Consider the following 16,961-nt stretch of genomic DNA (forward strand, 5'->3'; position numbering starts at 1 on the left):
TAAGCATAGTATTAAGTTGTTATTTTACCAAGTGGGATGCAGTGACTCTCTTCAAAGCTACAGCAAAAGGAAAAGAATTTTAGAAGCTCTATTTAGAAAGAGGGTATGTGAGGAGCAAGGAGGAGAAGACTGGGTGCATCTTTGGGGGAAATAGTTAATAAGCTGAGGTTTTAAGAGAAACGGCTGCAGGCCGACTCCTCTATGGAGCAGGCTCTCTTAGTAAGAGTTCAATGCAAAAGTTGACTAGAGCTAACTCTTTTATTGTAATGACTTTGCAGTTGATTTCCCCAGGATCCATTTTTGTTGCTTGATATTAGAGGAGTTGGCTGCAGTAAGAAAATTCAGAAGGTGAAAGACCAGTTTGGTAGATATATAGCCTGTTAAAGGGGACTAAAGAAGTCTCTACTAGGAAAAGAACAAAAAGGTGAGCATTTATTGTGTACCTGCTATGCTCCAGGAACAGGATAAGGATATTCTCTATCTAGACAGAAAGAATGAGGTATTCATATCAATGATAAATTATCTATTTACTGAATGTCTATTATGTGGCAGGCATTGTACAAAAACATTTAACATGCAGTTTTTCTTTGATTGTCATAGCAGCCTGCATAAGCATTTAGCAGATAAGAAACTATAAGCACAAAGATATTAATAAATAGCCTAAAGCACATAGCAAGTAAATAGGAGAGATGCTGTTGATATCTAGAAACTTCACCTTTGACCACAATAGTATACTGTTTCTGACAGCTAAGAAAACTAAAGCTTAGGCACTGCAGAATTTTTTCTATTTGAGAAACAACCTCATGCAACATTAAACGTTTAAGGGATGAGAAACCTCACTTCCAAACCTGGCTCTGTTCTGGGAATGTGGGCAATTTACTCTGCCTCAGTGAGGTTCACTTTCTTCACCAATGTTACTGAAACCACAATAGTGATCAGAATCACTCCAAGGGCTTGTTAAGATCCAGATTGCTGGGTTCCACCTCCAGAGTTTCTCATTCAGTATGTCTGGGGTGGGCTCCAGGATTTATATTTCTAACAAGTTCCCAGGTGATGATGGTGTTGCAGATCGGGGACCCCACTCGGGCAGACTGCACTGTACTGTCCTCTGAACTGAAAGCCTGGTTCTCCCTGGCCTGAAAGAGAGTGCTTCTTTAAGTAGACAGAGCATTGGCTTTGGAGACTTGGCCTAATCTTTCCTTCTTCATTTCCTGTGTGATTTTAGGCAGCTGATTTATCCTTCTGAGTCTCCATATCGTCATGTGTAAAATGGAGCTCTTGCTTTCTTTGTCATCATCTTGTTGGTATGGATTATGTGAAGCGATTTATAGAAAGCATCTAGGCTGTTGCCTGGACAAAATGCTCAATAGATGTTGATTCTTAACATTGGGAAGTTATCAAGATTATACAATATATTGTTGTGTATATATATGTTATATGTACAACATATATAACTTTTTATCTTTTTTATTGACTAAATATGCCAAGCATTATAACATTTCCTTTGTAGTATTTTTGTTTCCTAAGTCTCTGCCATCCTTATACAGATATGCATCTGTATGGCATCTGTAAAACATGCAGATTAGAACAAAGTGCTACTCAAGTGACATGTCATTGTTGGAGAAATATTACATGTATAGTTTTAATTCAGAAGTCATAATTCATGGAAGTCTCTTGAAGAGAGGATTCTGGATATTTTTGGATTGCAGGCCTCTGTAAACTTCATGGACCAGAAATCATCAGAGAAGAAACCCAAAGAGATAAAGGTCAAGTTGAGGAATGGTAAACTCTTTGATGATGTCAAAGGCTCTGTCTCTCATAGTGAGAAATTCTTTATCTCTGCCTATCAAAAAGACATTGCTAGTGATTCTACTTTAACAATGGTTAATCAAACTAGTTAGAAATGCCAATAGATTTTTTTATTATTTTTAATAAAAGTGTAAGTCCAGTACCCCACCCCCCTACCTCAATCCAAGCAGAAGTTTCTGAATTCTATTTTCCCTCCCTCTCATCTTTGTCCAGGTTGAAAATCAATGCATCTGGTTCACCTGGAATCTTGAGCTGCATATTTTTAGCATCAGAAAAGCCTGTATTGCCAGCATTACTGGAGAAAAAGCAGATAACCCCACAACGTCCTCCAGCCAAGGAGGAGGGCAGAGGGCTCAGAGGAGCAGAGTGCCTGCAGCTTAGATGATTCACCAGCCTTGATTCTTACAGCATGCAGGCTGGTGACTATGACCCAGGGACCATGAACCATGAGTTAGAATTTTCTGACAGAGTCCCTGATCTCAGGCTGCCATTTTCATTAATAATTGAGATAAGCATGGGAAGGAGGCTTAAAGTAATATTATTATTATTAATCCTAAGAAGTCTGTATTAAGGAATGGAAGCAACATGTAGTAACAATTATAATATTTAACACTCGTCTGTGCTTATTACGTGCCACTCACTGTTCTAAGTGTTTTACCTTTGTTGACTCATTTTATTTTAATAACATTTCATAGATGAGAAAAAAATAATTTCAGCAGCAGCAACAACAACAAAATGGAGCTGAGAAGTTAATGAACTTGCCGAAGTTCCCCTAGCTGGCAAGTAGTGGAAACGGGATTCAAACTCCCACATTCTGGCTCCAGAGCCCCTAGTCTTTATGCTTTTAGAGTTCAGCATAAAGGTACAGTTTATAAAGCATAAAGCTAATAGTTTTCCAAGCAATGTCTTTCACATGCATACGTCATGTGAACCTCACCATATCCTTTCACAGAAGCAAATAAATGGGTTTTATTATCTTCATTGAAATATTTAAAGTTCAGATTCAATAAGCATTTGTTGAGTAACTATGCCGAACTTTGTGCTATGTGCTATGTTATTGATTAAAATAGAGTTTCAAGAGATGAAAAATAAAAATAACTTCCGTGATATCACGCAGTTTGCTTGAGACACAGACTCTGAGCTCACAGGGCAGTAGAAACCTTTGCTAAATGAATCTGAAGTCTTCTTGGAAGTGGTGAGACTTGATCTGAGCTTCAAAGGATGAAACAAACCACACTGAAGAGTGAAGCCTGTTAAGGTGCAGGAAGCTGAAGTTCTCACTTTGCCTCTCCTGAAGATTTTCAGGGTGGAACGCAACCTCTGTCCTATTTATATTCCCAGGGTTATTGGAAAGGTCAAATGTTAAAATAAATATTGGAGTACGTGGTGAACTACAACATGTTCCAGTTTCTTTCCCTCTGCCCAGAATACTCATTCTCTGATGCAGCCAGATGACAAATTCTGACGCATCCATTCAATGGTCAGATCAAGGGTTGTCACTTTAAGAGGTCATCATTTCCTCTCCCTCTCTCTTCTGGGTGAGATTGCCTCTCTTTATCATTTGCACCCACACTTTTTTTTTTTTTTTTTTTTTTTACTTACACTGCGCTTGAGATCCTTTGCGAGAAGGCCTGTGTTCCTTATGAAAATGAGAATGGAGTCTTGCCTTGTTCATATCCTCATGTTTGTTAATTAGCACATGAACAGTCACATAGCAAACACTCAATAAGTGTTTAATTAACTATATGTGTGGCCTGTCTTCCATTCCAATGTTCTCTTCTCCTTACATATTAACATATAGTAAATGATGGCTAGATCATTAATCCCACAAACACTTACCAGAGTACTCTTAGTAGGGCACTGTGGAAAATGCAATGGATACATTTGTAAACAAGAAAGAATATATATAATTTTATAAGGAATGCAGCTAATGAATTGGAACGTGTGTGGGGTGTGTGTGTATGTGTGTGTGTGTGTGTGTGTGTGTGTGTGTGTGAGAGAGAGATGAAGAGAGAAACTTGTTCTGTGTATCAATAGATCCATCCAGTCATTCATCAAAACTCATAAGCATTTACTATGTGTCATGGACTGTGTTAGGCACTGAGATATAATTTTGAATGAGACCTACTCCCTGCTCTTAAAATACTTATAATCCAACCAAATCTTCCTGCAAAATCAGTAAACATAGACCTGGGATGTTAGCTCCAAGTATAGAATTAGGAATTAAAGCAAATGATCTTTCCTGTTAAGGGTGCAGCCTGGCCTGCAAGATTTCCCCACAGCTCCTTGTTTCCTCCCCAGGAAAGGGGGACAGTGTTCCCTGGAGCCCCACTCAGTAATGAACACATTTCCTCTGGCTATTAATCAGCACCTTTACTGATGAATCTGCAGCAGCACTGTGGGGATGGAAGGATGGAGGATACCTAAGATTCTATTTACTATCTCTTCCAGAGAAAGTCTCTGACCTCAATTTCATTTCTTGTTTTTATTGACCCATTTCATGCTAGTGGAGTAAATTTTCAAGGCCCTTTAGGAACAAATCAGCTTCTTTTGTCCTTGTTAAATGGACATTCTCCATTCAGTCATGGATCGACACAATCTTATCATCGAGAAGATAAGGTCTGAAGTGCATGATTTGCTTGCAGTGACCCAGACTGCACCTAAGTCTTCAGAAACCAGGCTTTAGTGGGTGAATTTCATAAGCAGGACCTAGAATTGACTCCACATTCTGATCATAATCTGAAACAGAGCAGAGGGTAGATAAAGTGACTCTGCCCCTAAATTCATTTATACTTAGGTTACCCCATAGAGACACCCCAAGGTGAGCAGGACTGCAGAAAGGAGTTTTATAGGACAGAAAGACAAAATTGAAGGTAGGAAAGTAACAGAAAGAGAAAGAAGACTTCAGGGGTTGAGAGTATGATCAAACTTGGAAGGCTCCTAGGAAGAAGAAGGTTAAAGTTAATAGGATGAATGCGTTAGTCGGCGGGTGAGAGGGGATGGAAATGACCAAGTTATGTTGTAGTAACAGACAAACCCAAAATGTCAATGGCTTAAATCAACACTACTTCTCATTTAAGCTGCGTGTCTATTGTGAATCAGAGGGACTGTTCTGGTCATTGCAGTCACTCAGGAACCCAGGCAATGCAGGCAGCCTCACAACCATTGCTGGTCACCATGTCAAAGGAAGGGAAGCTAAGCTCAGAAGAGTCTACCAGCAATTAAGTGCTCTGAATCCAAGAGCAATACATATAATTTATATCCATACCTTATTGACTAGAACTAGTGACATGTCCCAACTTCCCCACAAGGGAGCCAAAGCTATGTGCTCAGGAGTGAGACAGCACTAGTGTCTACCACAAGGAATGTGGGCATAGAAAGAAAATCCTAAGAGGTGCTTATGCCAGCATAATGTTCTCAGAGTTGGGCAGGTCTCCAAATACTCCCTGATAAGATTCTAGTCCTTGTAGAAATGTGTTCACTCTTTCTCAGGGTTTAAGAAGAAACCCACAACAAAGCCTGGGCAGGAATAATAAAGTCAGATAATACAATGTATAATGAACAAATATCTTTTATTTTTCATCTCTGCTTTTCTGCTCAAGTTTGAGTCCTGGCTCCATCTTTTACTAACTCCCTGACAAGGAGTAAGTGACTTTCCCATCTATGCCAGAGATTCTTTATTTTTTTTAAAAAACAAGGATAACGATATTACTTAATCTCTAGGACTTTCATACATATTAAACAAGTAAAAGCAGAAAAAGGGCTTAGAATAGTCCCTGACACATACTAATAAGTATTCCATGAGTGTTAACCATTTTTCTTTTTCTTAACAACCCAAAGAGTTGGGTTCTACCTCATTAATAATAGGTTACCTCATTAATAAATAGGTTTTACCTGATTTAATGGTGTGAAAAGGGATGTCTGGAGAGATTGAGTATATTCCAGATCAGCTGTGTGATCAATGGTGGAGCCAGGATTCACATTTAGGTCCTTTAATTTCAGAGGTTGAAATTTATATTTTGCATACAAATTATCCTTGCGTTTGATCACCTCAACAGCCCTGAAGATGGAGCCAATAATATTCTTCCAATCACCAACCCTTCTGCTACTATTACTGCCATCACTGCAACTTCCAGGTATCATTTATAGAGCACCTACTTTACATAAATCATATCTAAATCTCACAAAAATTCCCTTTTTATACTACAAACTGAGGTTCAGAGAAGTAAAGTATTAGTTTGCCAGGGCTGCCATACAAAGTACCACAGATCAGGTGGCTTAACAAAAATTTATTTTCTTACAGTTCTGGAGGGTAAAAGTCTGAGACGAAGGTGTTGACAGGGTTGGTTTCATTCTGAGTGTTCTCTTCTTGGTTTGCAGATGATTAGTTTCTCCCTATGTCTTCACGTGGTCTCTCTCTGTATGTGTCTTAATCTTTTCTTATTAGGGGAACAGTCTTATGGGATGAAAGCCCACCCATATGACCTCATTTTAACCTAATTACCCCTTTAAAGGCTATATTTCCAAATACGGTCACATTCTGAGGTACTGTGTGTTGAACTTTGGGTGTGTGTTGGGGTTGGGGGGGTCAACTAGTAGCCTGTACCCTAATGAAACCAGAAGTTAAATATAGGATATTCTCATTGTAAGCACACATCATCCTTCCATCTTTGGTCCATTAATGAAGGTCTCCTATGTGCTAGGCATAGTTTATGGTGCTTTTTCACTCCTTTTTTCAAACCTAGTTCTCAAAGGAAATGCTGACTCCTTTGTATAGCTAAGGAAATTGGTGTTCCCAATGTGGTCACTGTCCGTCACCTTGTGATGTGTTCAAATCTTCTGCTCCACTAAGAAGAAACTTTCCTTTTCTCCCATCTTGCTCCTTTGGAGATGAGACAGCCCTTTTAAAATGATGCCATACCTGTTATGTTATCAAGAATTAGCCTTTATTAAGTGCTAACTCTGTACAAACATGAAGATAGGCACTTAACACGCAGAAACCTAAGAAACAATGCCAACTTTCCAAGAAATCACAACCTAGATGAAAAGGCGAGAAATGAAAAAATGAAAAGTACAATATAAATACCAGTTGTTTTTCCCTGGGAAGTGCCATCAGTGAATAGCTTCAGAGGAAGCTGTAACCACTATAGAATAGTTATTCAGAAAAAAACTTCTTGGCAGGTTTTGAGGGATGCATTTGGAAGTCGGAGTAGTTAGCATGTCAGCAACAACAAGAAACAGAAACATGTTTGTAGGATAATTTCCGGTCACATTCTTGCTTAGATATTAATGGCTCACCACTGTCTGCAAGGTAAAGTCGAAGATTCTTAGTTTGCATTTTGCATTTGAACAAGCTTCTGCTTCTGCTTTATTACCCACCATTCCCCTAGGTGACAAACCTGAACTCTGAGACAGTCATTTCTCACCTTTGGCCCTTCACCTGTGAACAGAAACTGCATAGAGAAAAGAGCAGGGATCTCAGAATCCAGCAGGTCTGAATTCTGGCTCTGCTACTTACTAACCACTGGGACATTTCACATGTTATTTAACCTTTCAGTTTATTCACCTACAAAATAAAAATAGTAACAAGTACCTGTCAAGGAATATGTGAAGATTTAATGAAATAAACTTTTTTTTTTTTTTTTTTTTTTTTTTTTTTTTGAGACGGAGTCTTGCTCTGTTGCCAGGCTGGAGTGCAATGGCGTGATCTTGGCTCACTGCAACCTCCGCCTCCTGGGTTCAAGCGATTCCCCTGCCTCAGCCTCCCGAGTAGCTGGGACCACAGGTGCCCACCACCACGCCCGGCTACATTTTCTTTTAGTAAAGACAGGGTTTCACCATGTTGGCCAGAATGGTCTCAATCTCCTGACCTCACGATCTACCCACTTTGGCCTCCCAAAATGTTGGGATTACAGGCATGAGCCACCGCACCCGGCTGAAATAACTTTTTAAAGCACCCAACATATTGCCTACTGTATTATGTGGACTCAGGATATGGTAGTTATCATTATAATAATGATGCTTTTTGTTTGGTGCCAGCAATTCACTTCCACTGCTTCTTAGCCTAAACAAGTCCCTTAGCATTTTTTATATTTATAATGTAGCTTTATATTACTGCATCATATTACTTTATAAGTAGGGGCAATGTAATGTGGTGGTTAGGAGCACAGTCCTGGAATCAGTCAGCTTACCATTGATGAACTCTACCTCTCATTACTCTGTGAAGTTAAGCAAGTTATTTGGCCACTCTTGTTTCTCAGCTTTTTTGTGTATAAAATGACATTAGGGAATTATCTGCTTCGTAGAGACAGTTTTGAAGAGAAAATGAGTTTATGTCATAGTTTCTGGAATACAGCATACATTCAATAAATGGAAGCTATTGTTATATTCATTTTATACAGGAAGAAAGAAGTCATGTAACTTGACCAAAGTTGAAAGACTAGTGGGACAAAAACTTTTAGAATTAGAATTTTGAGTTGTGTGAGTTCCTTACAAATTTTCAACACCAACTCCCATCAGATATGTAATTTGCAAATATTTTCTCCTATTCCATAAGTTGTCTTTTTATTTTACTATTTCCTTTGCTGAGATGAAACTTTTTAGTTTGATATAGTCTCACTTGTTTATTTTTCGCTTTGTTGCCTATGCTTTTGGTGTCATATCCAAAAAAATCTTGCCAAGACCAATGTCAAGTTTTTCCTTATGTTTTCTTCTAAGATTTTTGTGGTTTTCAGACCTTAAGTTTAAGTTTTTAGCCCATTTTGAGTTGACTTTTTGTGTATGGTGTAACATAAAGATCTAATTTTATTCTTTTGCTTGTGGAAGTTCAGTTTTCCCAGTATCATTTATTGAAGACACTATTCCTTCCCCCATTGCACACCCTTGGTGCCCTCGTGGAATATAAGTAGACCACGTATGCATGGGTTTATCTCTATTCTGTTCTGCTGGACTATGTGCCTGTTTTAAGCCAATACTATACTGTTTTGATTACTACAGCTTTATACTATACTTTGAAATTGGGTAGTGTGATGCCTCCAGCTTTATTTTTTCTCAAGATTGTTTGGGCTATTCAGGGTCTTTTGTGATTCCATACACATTTTAGGATTGCCTTTTCTATTTTTGTTTGAAAAAAAAATGGTGCATATCCAAAGGAATTGAAATCAGTATTTCAAAGAGATATTGGTACTCCCATGTTCAATGCAGTGTTATTCACTGTAGTCATAATATGGAAACAAAGTAAGTGTTCTTTGATGAATTAACAGATCAGGAAATTGTGGTATGTAATACATATAGAATGAAATATCATTAAGCCTTTAAAAAGAAGGAAATTCTGCCATTTGTAACAACATAGATGAGTCTAGAGGTTATTATACTAAATGAAATAAGCCACACACAGAAAGATAAATCCTGCAGGATCTTCTTTTATATGTGGACTCTAAACAAATCAAACTTATGGAAACAGTGAGTAGAACATTGGTTGCCAGGGCTTGGGAGTGGAGAAAATGTGATTTTGGTTAAAGTCTGAAAACTTTAAGTTACAAGATGAGTAAGTTCTGGAGATCTAACGTGCGCCATTGTGACTCCAGTTAATAATGCTGCATTATATACTTAAAATTAGCTAAGAAAGTAGATCTTTTCCTCTTCTTTATTTTAATTGGCAAATAATAATAGTACATATTCATGGGGTGCATAGCGAATAGAATAGATATTAAGTGCTCTCACCCTAAACACAAGGTAACTACATGAGGTAATAGCCATGTTAATTAACTTGATTGTGGGGATTACTTCATAATGTATACATGTATCAAAACATCACATTTTTAATTGTCATTGTACCTGAGTAAAGCTGGAGGCTGGGAAAAAATTGAGTTAGGTGATTCCACAATCTGTGCTCTTAATCACCAGGCATTTGGATAACCACATGAACAAGAAACACTTCTGCCTCCAAGTCCTTCCCCACTGTCATTATCTGAAACACACACTTGACAGCTTCTGCTGCCCAGACAACTTTCAGACTGCAGATAGGATGAGCTGCCTCTCACTTTTCATTCACTTTATAAAAATGTCTGCATTGATACTGGCCCCACTTCTTTTATCATCCCTCAGCACATACAACTTTTGCAGTGAAAACAGAAGACTCAGTCAAGCAACATGTGCAGGGGCACATCGTTAAAAGGCAAATAATCAGGACCAACATCCAGGTCAACACAGTTGGCTGCTGAGTATGGAGCCCCTGCTAACTCCATGTTTTAGCCAATGCTAAACACAGCCTGTTTTAGCCAATGGTGGAGGAAACTGGGCAATGTGTGTGCTCCATTATGTCAGGAACTTGACCATGTTTACCTCTGGCACAGAAAGGCCCCTCACTAAACATTTGCTTAATGAATGACTCACCAACCTATCTATTCCTCTATCTATCTGTCATCTATCCATCCATCTGTCCATCTGTCCATCTGTCTACCTAGGAAAGCCCTTGCCTCATCTTGCATTATGCACCCTCAAATGGGAGAGACAGAAATGTAAGCAACAGCTCATTGTATGCTGTGTAAAGAGCCATGATGGGAGTGGGTGCTACAGACACCAGGAAAAGCTCTTATGACTAGCAAATCTGTACATTCTGCTCCACCCAAGGTGCCTTCCTGCCCACACTTAATTCTTCCACAAAAGCACAAAAAGTCATGATTACAGCAAACACTTATATAATGCTATAGTTATGCTCTTAGCAAGCAGTAACAATTGTGAAAAACTTTAAATAAAAATGAAACAAAAAATGGAAGAAATCAAGTTGCGTTATCTAATATGAAAAATGCATTCGGGTTTTGTTTTTTTCAGAAAAAAAGTGGTTCTACATGAAGACCAGAATCTATAGCACACAAGCAAACATTGTCTGTGCTTTCTTAATCCTCTCATTCATAGATCCACTCACAAGCGCTTCTGTGGCCAAAAAGTTTTACTTGGTACCTATATAAGCTTGGCTTGGCCTGGTTCCTATTTTCTTTGTAAGTTTTGTTTCTTTCTTGTCATTTCTCACTCCCCTATTTACCTTAATTATTTTTATTTGTTTTGTTTTGGTTTGGGTAAGTTTAAAGACATATTTAAAAAAATTTTTTTAACTTTCATTTTTAATTCAGGGGTACATGTGCAGGATGTGCAGGTTTCTTACATAGGTAAGTGTGTCATGGGGGTTTGTTGTCCAGATTATTTCATTACCTAGGTATTAAGGCTAGTATCCAGTAGTTATTTTTTCTGCTCTTCTCCCTCTTCCCACCTTCCACCCTCTGATAGGCCCCAGTGTGTATCGTTCCCTTCTATGTGTCCATGTGTTCTCATTATTTAGCTTCCACTTATAAGTGAGAACATGCTGTATTTGGTTTTCTGTTACTGTGTTAGTTTGCTAAGGATAATGGCCTCCAGCTCCATCTATTTCCCTGCAAAGGACTGACCTCGTTTTTTTTTTTTTTAATGACTGCATAGTGTTCTGTGGTGTATATGAATCACATTTTCTTTATCCAGTTTATCATTGATGGGCATTTAGATTTATTCCATGTCTTTGCTACTGTGAATAGTGCTGCAATTAACGTGTATGCATGTGTCTCTATAGTAGAATGATTTATATTCCTTGGGGTATATAACCAGTAGTGGGGTTGCTGAGACAAATAGGGTATTTCTGTCTTTAGGTCTTTGAGGAATCACCACAATGTCTTTAATTAATTGTGTGTATATATTGTGTGTATAATTTAATTAATTGTGTGTATATATTAATTGTGTGTATATACATATATATGGATAGGCATCTATCTATCTATCCATATATACTTGGTACCTGTATAAGCTTGGCTTTGCCTAGTTCCTATTTATCTATCTATCCATATAAATCTGGTAAATAGAGAGCATATAGGCAATATTAACATTATCTATACCTCATACTTCAAAATAGCATATTGGAGATTCCTTGATGTTTTTCTCACTTCCACTTTCTTCATTCTAATAATCACCAATTTCCATTCATTCTACACCCTAAATTTCTCTCAAACTCACATTTCCCTTAGCTCCCATAATAACTGCCTTATTACAAGTCTTCACTGATGCATGGACCATTGCAATGACATCTTAAGTAAGTGATATCCATTTGCTCACCAGCAATACCATTCATCCCCAACGATGCTACCAGGACTTTTAAAAACTCAGATGTGGTCATGATCTCTGCTAACTCAATTATTTTCCGGTTTTTGAAGGATTAAGTTTGAATTCCTTAGCATGACATGATCGGCTGACCTAGCAGAATGTGACTTCTGCTTTTATCTCCCACTTCACCTCTAACCCAGATTAACTAAGAGGCAGAGATTCAGCAACTATAGGCACGTAATTGCTGTCCATTGTCTGCCAAATGGTTTACAACTCCTTGACCTTTTTAGATAATGTTCCTTTGCCTGTTGTAAGGCTCTCCACAATTTCTGCATGCCTATTGTCTTTTTTTTTGACTACCAAACTCTGGTTTTGAAAAGATAGCATTTGTCCTTGCAGAGAGCATATATATTACTCCCTTATTTTTACCACCAATGCATCAAATGGTGCTACCTTTACATAAATTGCACTGAAATATTGTAACTTTCTTTTTATTGTAAAGTAATATATGTACCTTATAAAATCTTGAGAAAATATAGATAAGCAGAATGAAAAAAATTAAATCATCCATAATTTTGTCATTCAGATGCAACTACTTTTAATATTCTGTGGGACTCTGCCACTAGTCTTTTCTCCAAACATATGTGTTTATTTTGCAAAAATAGAATAATACTATCCATATTGTTTTGTAATGGGCTTTTTTGAAATGGAAGAATATATTGTAAAAATTATTTCCTGTGTTTAAAATTATTTCTTAATATCATTGTCAGTGCTAAAAAGTATTTCCTTGGATGAATGGAATAATTTTCTATTATCTGAACTACAGTTATAACCAAAGTTTCACATTACAAATGAGAAGGCAGTTATTCTCTTTATATCTAAACCCTTAAGTATGATCACAATTACTTCTCTTTGATAAATTTTAACAAAACTAATTTCTGGATCAATGAAGATGCACAAGTTTAAGCTTTTTGGTACATATTTCCAAATTATCTTCCAAAAAGATTCTACCAGTTTTCACTTTCAAACGCAAAGTACGTCTGCTTCCTCACAAAGGTAACATGAATATATGATCTTTGATAAGCCATCGAATAAGCAAAAAGGATATAGCTTGTTGATTTGACATAACTCGTCTGTGATGGGGTTATAACAATGGGGTATATACGAATATGCTTTATTTTGCATATTAAATTTATGTATATAGTATTTAAATAAATTTTTTTCTTTTGTGATTTTCCTAATTGGGTCCTTGATTCACTTTACACTGAGTTGTTTATCTTTTTTTCTCATTGATTCATGAGTTTTTTATATCATCCTTTGTCTGTCATGTAAGCCACATGAAAATTTTATCACCTTTTGCTGTCTGCTTTTGAGTCTGAAAATGACTTATGATTCAATTCATCTAATCCCCATTGCTTGAAATGCTACCAGTATTATATATTGATTCCTATCTATACTCAGACCAGTTTATGAACATTTAAGAATAACCCATCAGCCTGTTCCCCTATCGCTACTCTATTTTAAAATTATTTTGGTTCATATCAATATTATTCTTATTCTCATACACACTGTTATTATTTTAATAGCTACCATTTATTGATCATGGCCAATATATATAACATATTTCAATATACAATGCTTACTACTTTTACAAAATATGTCGGATTTATTCTTCCAAACAATCCTCTGAAGTCAGTGCAATGATTATATAAATGTTTCACCTAAGGAAACTGAGATGAATATTATTTATTATCTGGTAAAACTGAGATTAAAACTCAGGTCAGCCTGACACCACAACTACAAACTCCCAAATCCATATACTTTACTCAGCTCCAAAAATGTTTTGTACCTATTTTCAGAAGTTTCATTCTTGGAGATAAACTTTAACATTATCAACTTTATAAAAAAACAGCTTTTGATTTTTTTAGTAAGCTTTTTATTGAGCTGTAACATTCATATATGCATAAACCACAAACGAACATGTGTGCAATTTATATCCAGACCGAGAAACTTACCAGCACGCAGAGGCCCCATTGTGCCCTCTTCTACTCATCACTACTTCCCACACATCAAACCTGTCCTGACTTCTACACCATTAATTAATTTTATGTGGTTTTGAATTTTGAAAAAACATACAGATTTAAATTTAGGTTGTTGAATGTCTTTTCATGTGCTTTTTAGATATTTGTTTATCTTATATTTTAAAACATCTGTTCAAACCTTTGACTACCTTTAAATTTGGTTGTTTTCTTATTGAGTTGAAAAGGTCTTTATGTACTCTGAATACCAGTCCTTTGTCAGATTATACACACATACACATATATAATTATATAAACTATATACATATATATACACACTCTCTTGTGTATGTTTGTATAAAATATTTTCTTTGTGTTTGCTTTTTTCAACCTTATTTTTTGAAAGAAAAAATATTTTAATTGTGGTGAAGTCTAATTCCCTATTATAATAAATGCCTACCCTAAGTCTGTAGATAATTCTTTATGTTTATTCTCCTAAAACTTTTATACTACTAGCTTTTATATTTAGGCATATATGATCCATTCTCATCACATAATGGTATGACTGCTATGATTTATGGGTTGGTGTTTATTTTTCCATAATGATACAGTTGTTTAAGCATCATTTATTGAAAATACTCTAATTTCTCCATTGGATTACGTAGGACACTCTCTCTAAAATCAATTAAACCTATAAGTGTGGGTCTGTTTCTTGATCTATAGGTCTGTTATTTTTCAGTAGCACACGGCCTTGATTACTTGCAGCTATATAGTAAGTCTTAAAGTCAGATAGTGTAAAAGTTTGTAATTTTATTCTTTATTTTAAAAATAGTTTTAGCTATTCTAGGTTTTTGGCATTTCTACATAAACTGTAGAACTAGCTTATCAGTTTGTGTCAAAAACTTACAGCTGTGATTTTCATTGAGATTGCAATGAACCTAAAACTTAATACAGGGAAAGTATTGGATGTTACAATCCATGAAAATGGTATGTGTCTTTCTTTTTTCTTATTTAGCTTTTCTAAACAATTTTTTATAATTGTAGTGTGTAATTCACACATTTTGTCAAATTTATTTGTATATACTTCATGCTTTACAATGTTAGTGATAATGTAATATTCTATATTTAACTTTAATTTTCTATTTTTTGCAACTTTCAGAAATATGATGTGACTTTGCTGAAATCATTTATTACTTGCAATAATTTTAGATTTATTAGAATTGTATGTTACAACCTTTATATAAATATACAGTTGAACCATGAACAATGTGTGGGCTAAGGGCACCAATCCCCCCAAACACACAGTCAAAAATCTGCATATAAGTTTTGACTCCCAAAAAATTTAATTACTAAAGCCTACTATTGACTGGAAGCATTGCTGACAACATAGATAGCTGATTAACACATATTTTATAAGTTATATGTATTATATATTGCATTCTTACAATAAAGTAAGCTACAGGAAAGAAAATGCCATTAAAAAAATCATAAGGCCAGTCAGAGAAATGCAAATCAAAACCACAATGAGATACCATCTCACACCAGTTAAAATGGCAGTCATTAAAAAGTCAGGCAACAACAGGTGCTGGAGAGGATGTGGAGAAATAGGAACACTTTTACACTGTTGGTGGGACTGTAAACTAGTTCAACCATTGTGGAAGTCAGTGTGGCGATTCCTCAAGGATCTAGAACTAGAAATACAATTTGACCCAGCCATCCCATTACTGGGTATATACCCAAAGGATTATAAATCATGCTGCTATAAAGACACATGCACACGTATGTTTATTGTGGCACTATTCACAATAGCAAAGACTTGGAACCAACCCCAATGTCCAACAACGATAGACTGGATTAAGAAAATGTGGCACATATACACCATGGAATACTATGCAGCCATAAAAAATGATGAGTTCATGTCCTTTGTAGGGACATGGATGAAGCTGGAAACCATCATCCTCAGTAAACTATCACAAGGACAGAAAACCAAACAGCACATGTTCTCACTCATGGGTGGGAGTTGAACAATGAGAACACATGGACACAGGAAGGGGAACATCACACTCCGGGGACTGTTGTGGGGTGGGAGGAGGGGGGAGGGATAGCATTAGGAGATATACCCAATGCTAAATTACGAGTTAATGGGTGCGGCACACCAACATGGCATATGTATACATATGTAACAAACCTGCACGTTGTGCACATGTACCCTAAAACTTAAAGTATAATAATAATAAAAAATAAAATTAAAAAAATCATAAGAAAGAGAAAATATATTTTCTGTTCCTTACATGGAGGTGAATCATCATAAAAGTCTTCATCCTTGTTGCCTTCACAATGAGTAGGCTGAGGAGGAGGAGGAAAAGGAGGTGTTGGTCTTGCTGTCTCAGGAGTGGCAGAGGCAGAAGAAAATCTGTATATAAGCAGACCTGAGCAGTACAGACATTTGTGGTTCAAGGGTCACCTGTATGCATATATATCATCTGCAAAGAGAAACAGTTGCTTGACACAGTGGCTTACACCTGTAATCTCAGCACTTTGAGAGGCCAAGGTTGGCAGATCACTTAAGCCCAGGCATTGAAGACCAGCCTGTGCAACAGGGGAAGGCCCCGTCTCTATAAAAAAAAAAAAAATACAAAAATTAACGAGACATGGTGGTGCACACCTGTAGTCCCAGGTACTTGGGAGGCTGATGTAGTAGAATCATCTGAGCCTGGGAAGTGGAGGCTGCAGTGAACTGTGACTGGGCCACTACTGCACTCCAGCCTGGGTGACAGAGCGAGACCCTGTCTCAAAAAAAAAAAAAGGATATTTACATTTTACTTTTTTTCCTAATTAATATGCCCTTTATTTCTTTTACTTGTGCAGTAAAATACCTTCAAGAATGTGACTTCGAGAAATTTCTTTCAACTCTCCTAACCTCTTCTAAGCATTCAGTAGGCCACCGGCTTGTACTTTTGTAAGACACAACGTACCAAAGAAGGGATGTCTCTCAGCAATCCTACCCTG

The 16,961-nt window shown here is 36.8% G+C and overlaps 1 annotated feature.

The window, feature by feature from the left end:
• Nucleotides 11,758–12,467: an enhancer, noted in NCBI's record as "OCT4-NANOG hESC enhancer chr9:121863119-121863828 (GRCh37/hg19 assembly coordinates)". NCBI's record gives its function as "activates a minimal SCP1, AML or CMV promoter by ChIP-STARR-seq in naive and primed H9 embryonic stem cells {active_cell/tissue: H9 hESC(naive and primed)}" and the evidence as "EXISTENCE:reporter gene assay evidence [ECO:0000049][PMID:30033119]".

The sequence above is a fragment of the Homo sapiens genome, chromosome 9 (genome assembly GCF_000001405.40).
Source record: "Homo sapiens chromosome 9, GRCh38.p14 Primary Assembly".
NCBI lineage: Eukaryota > Metazoa > Chordata > Mammalia > Primates > Hominidae > Homo > Homo sapiens.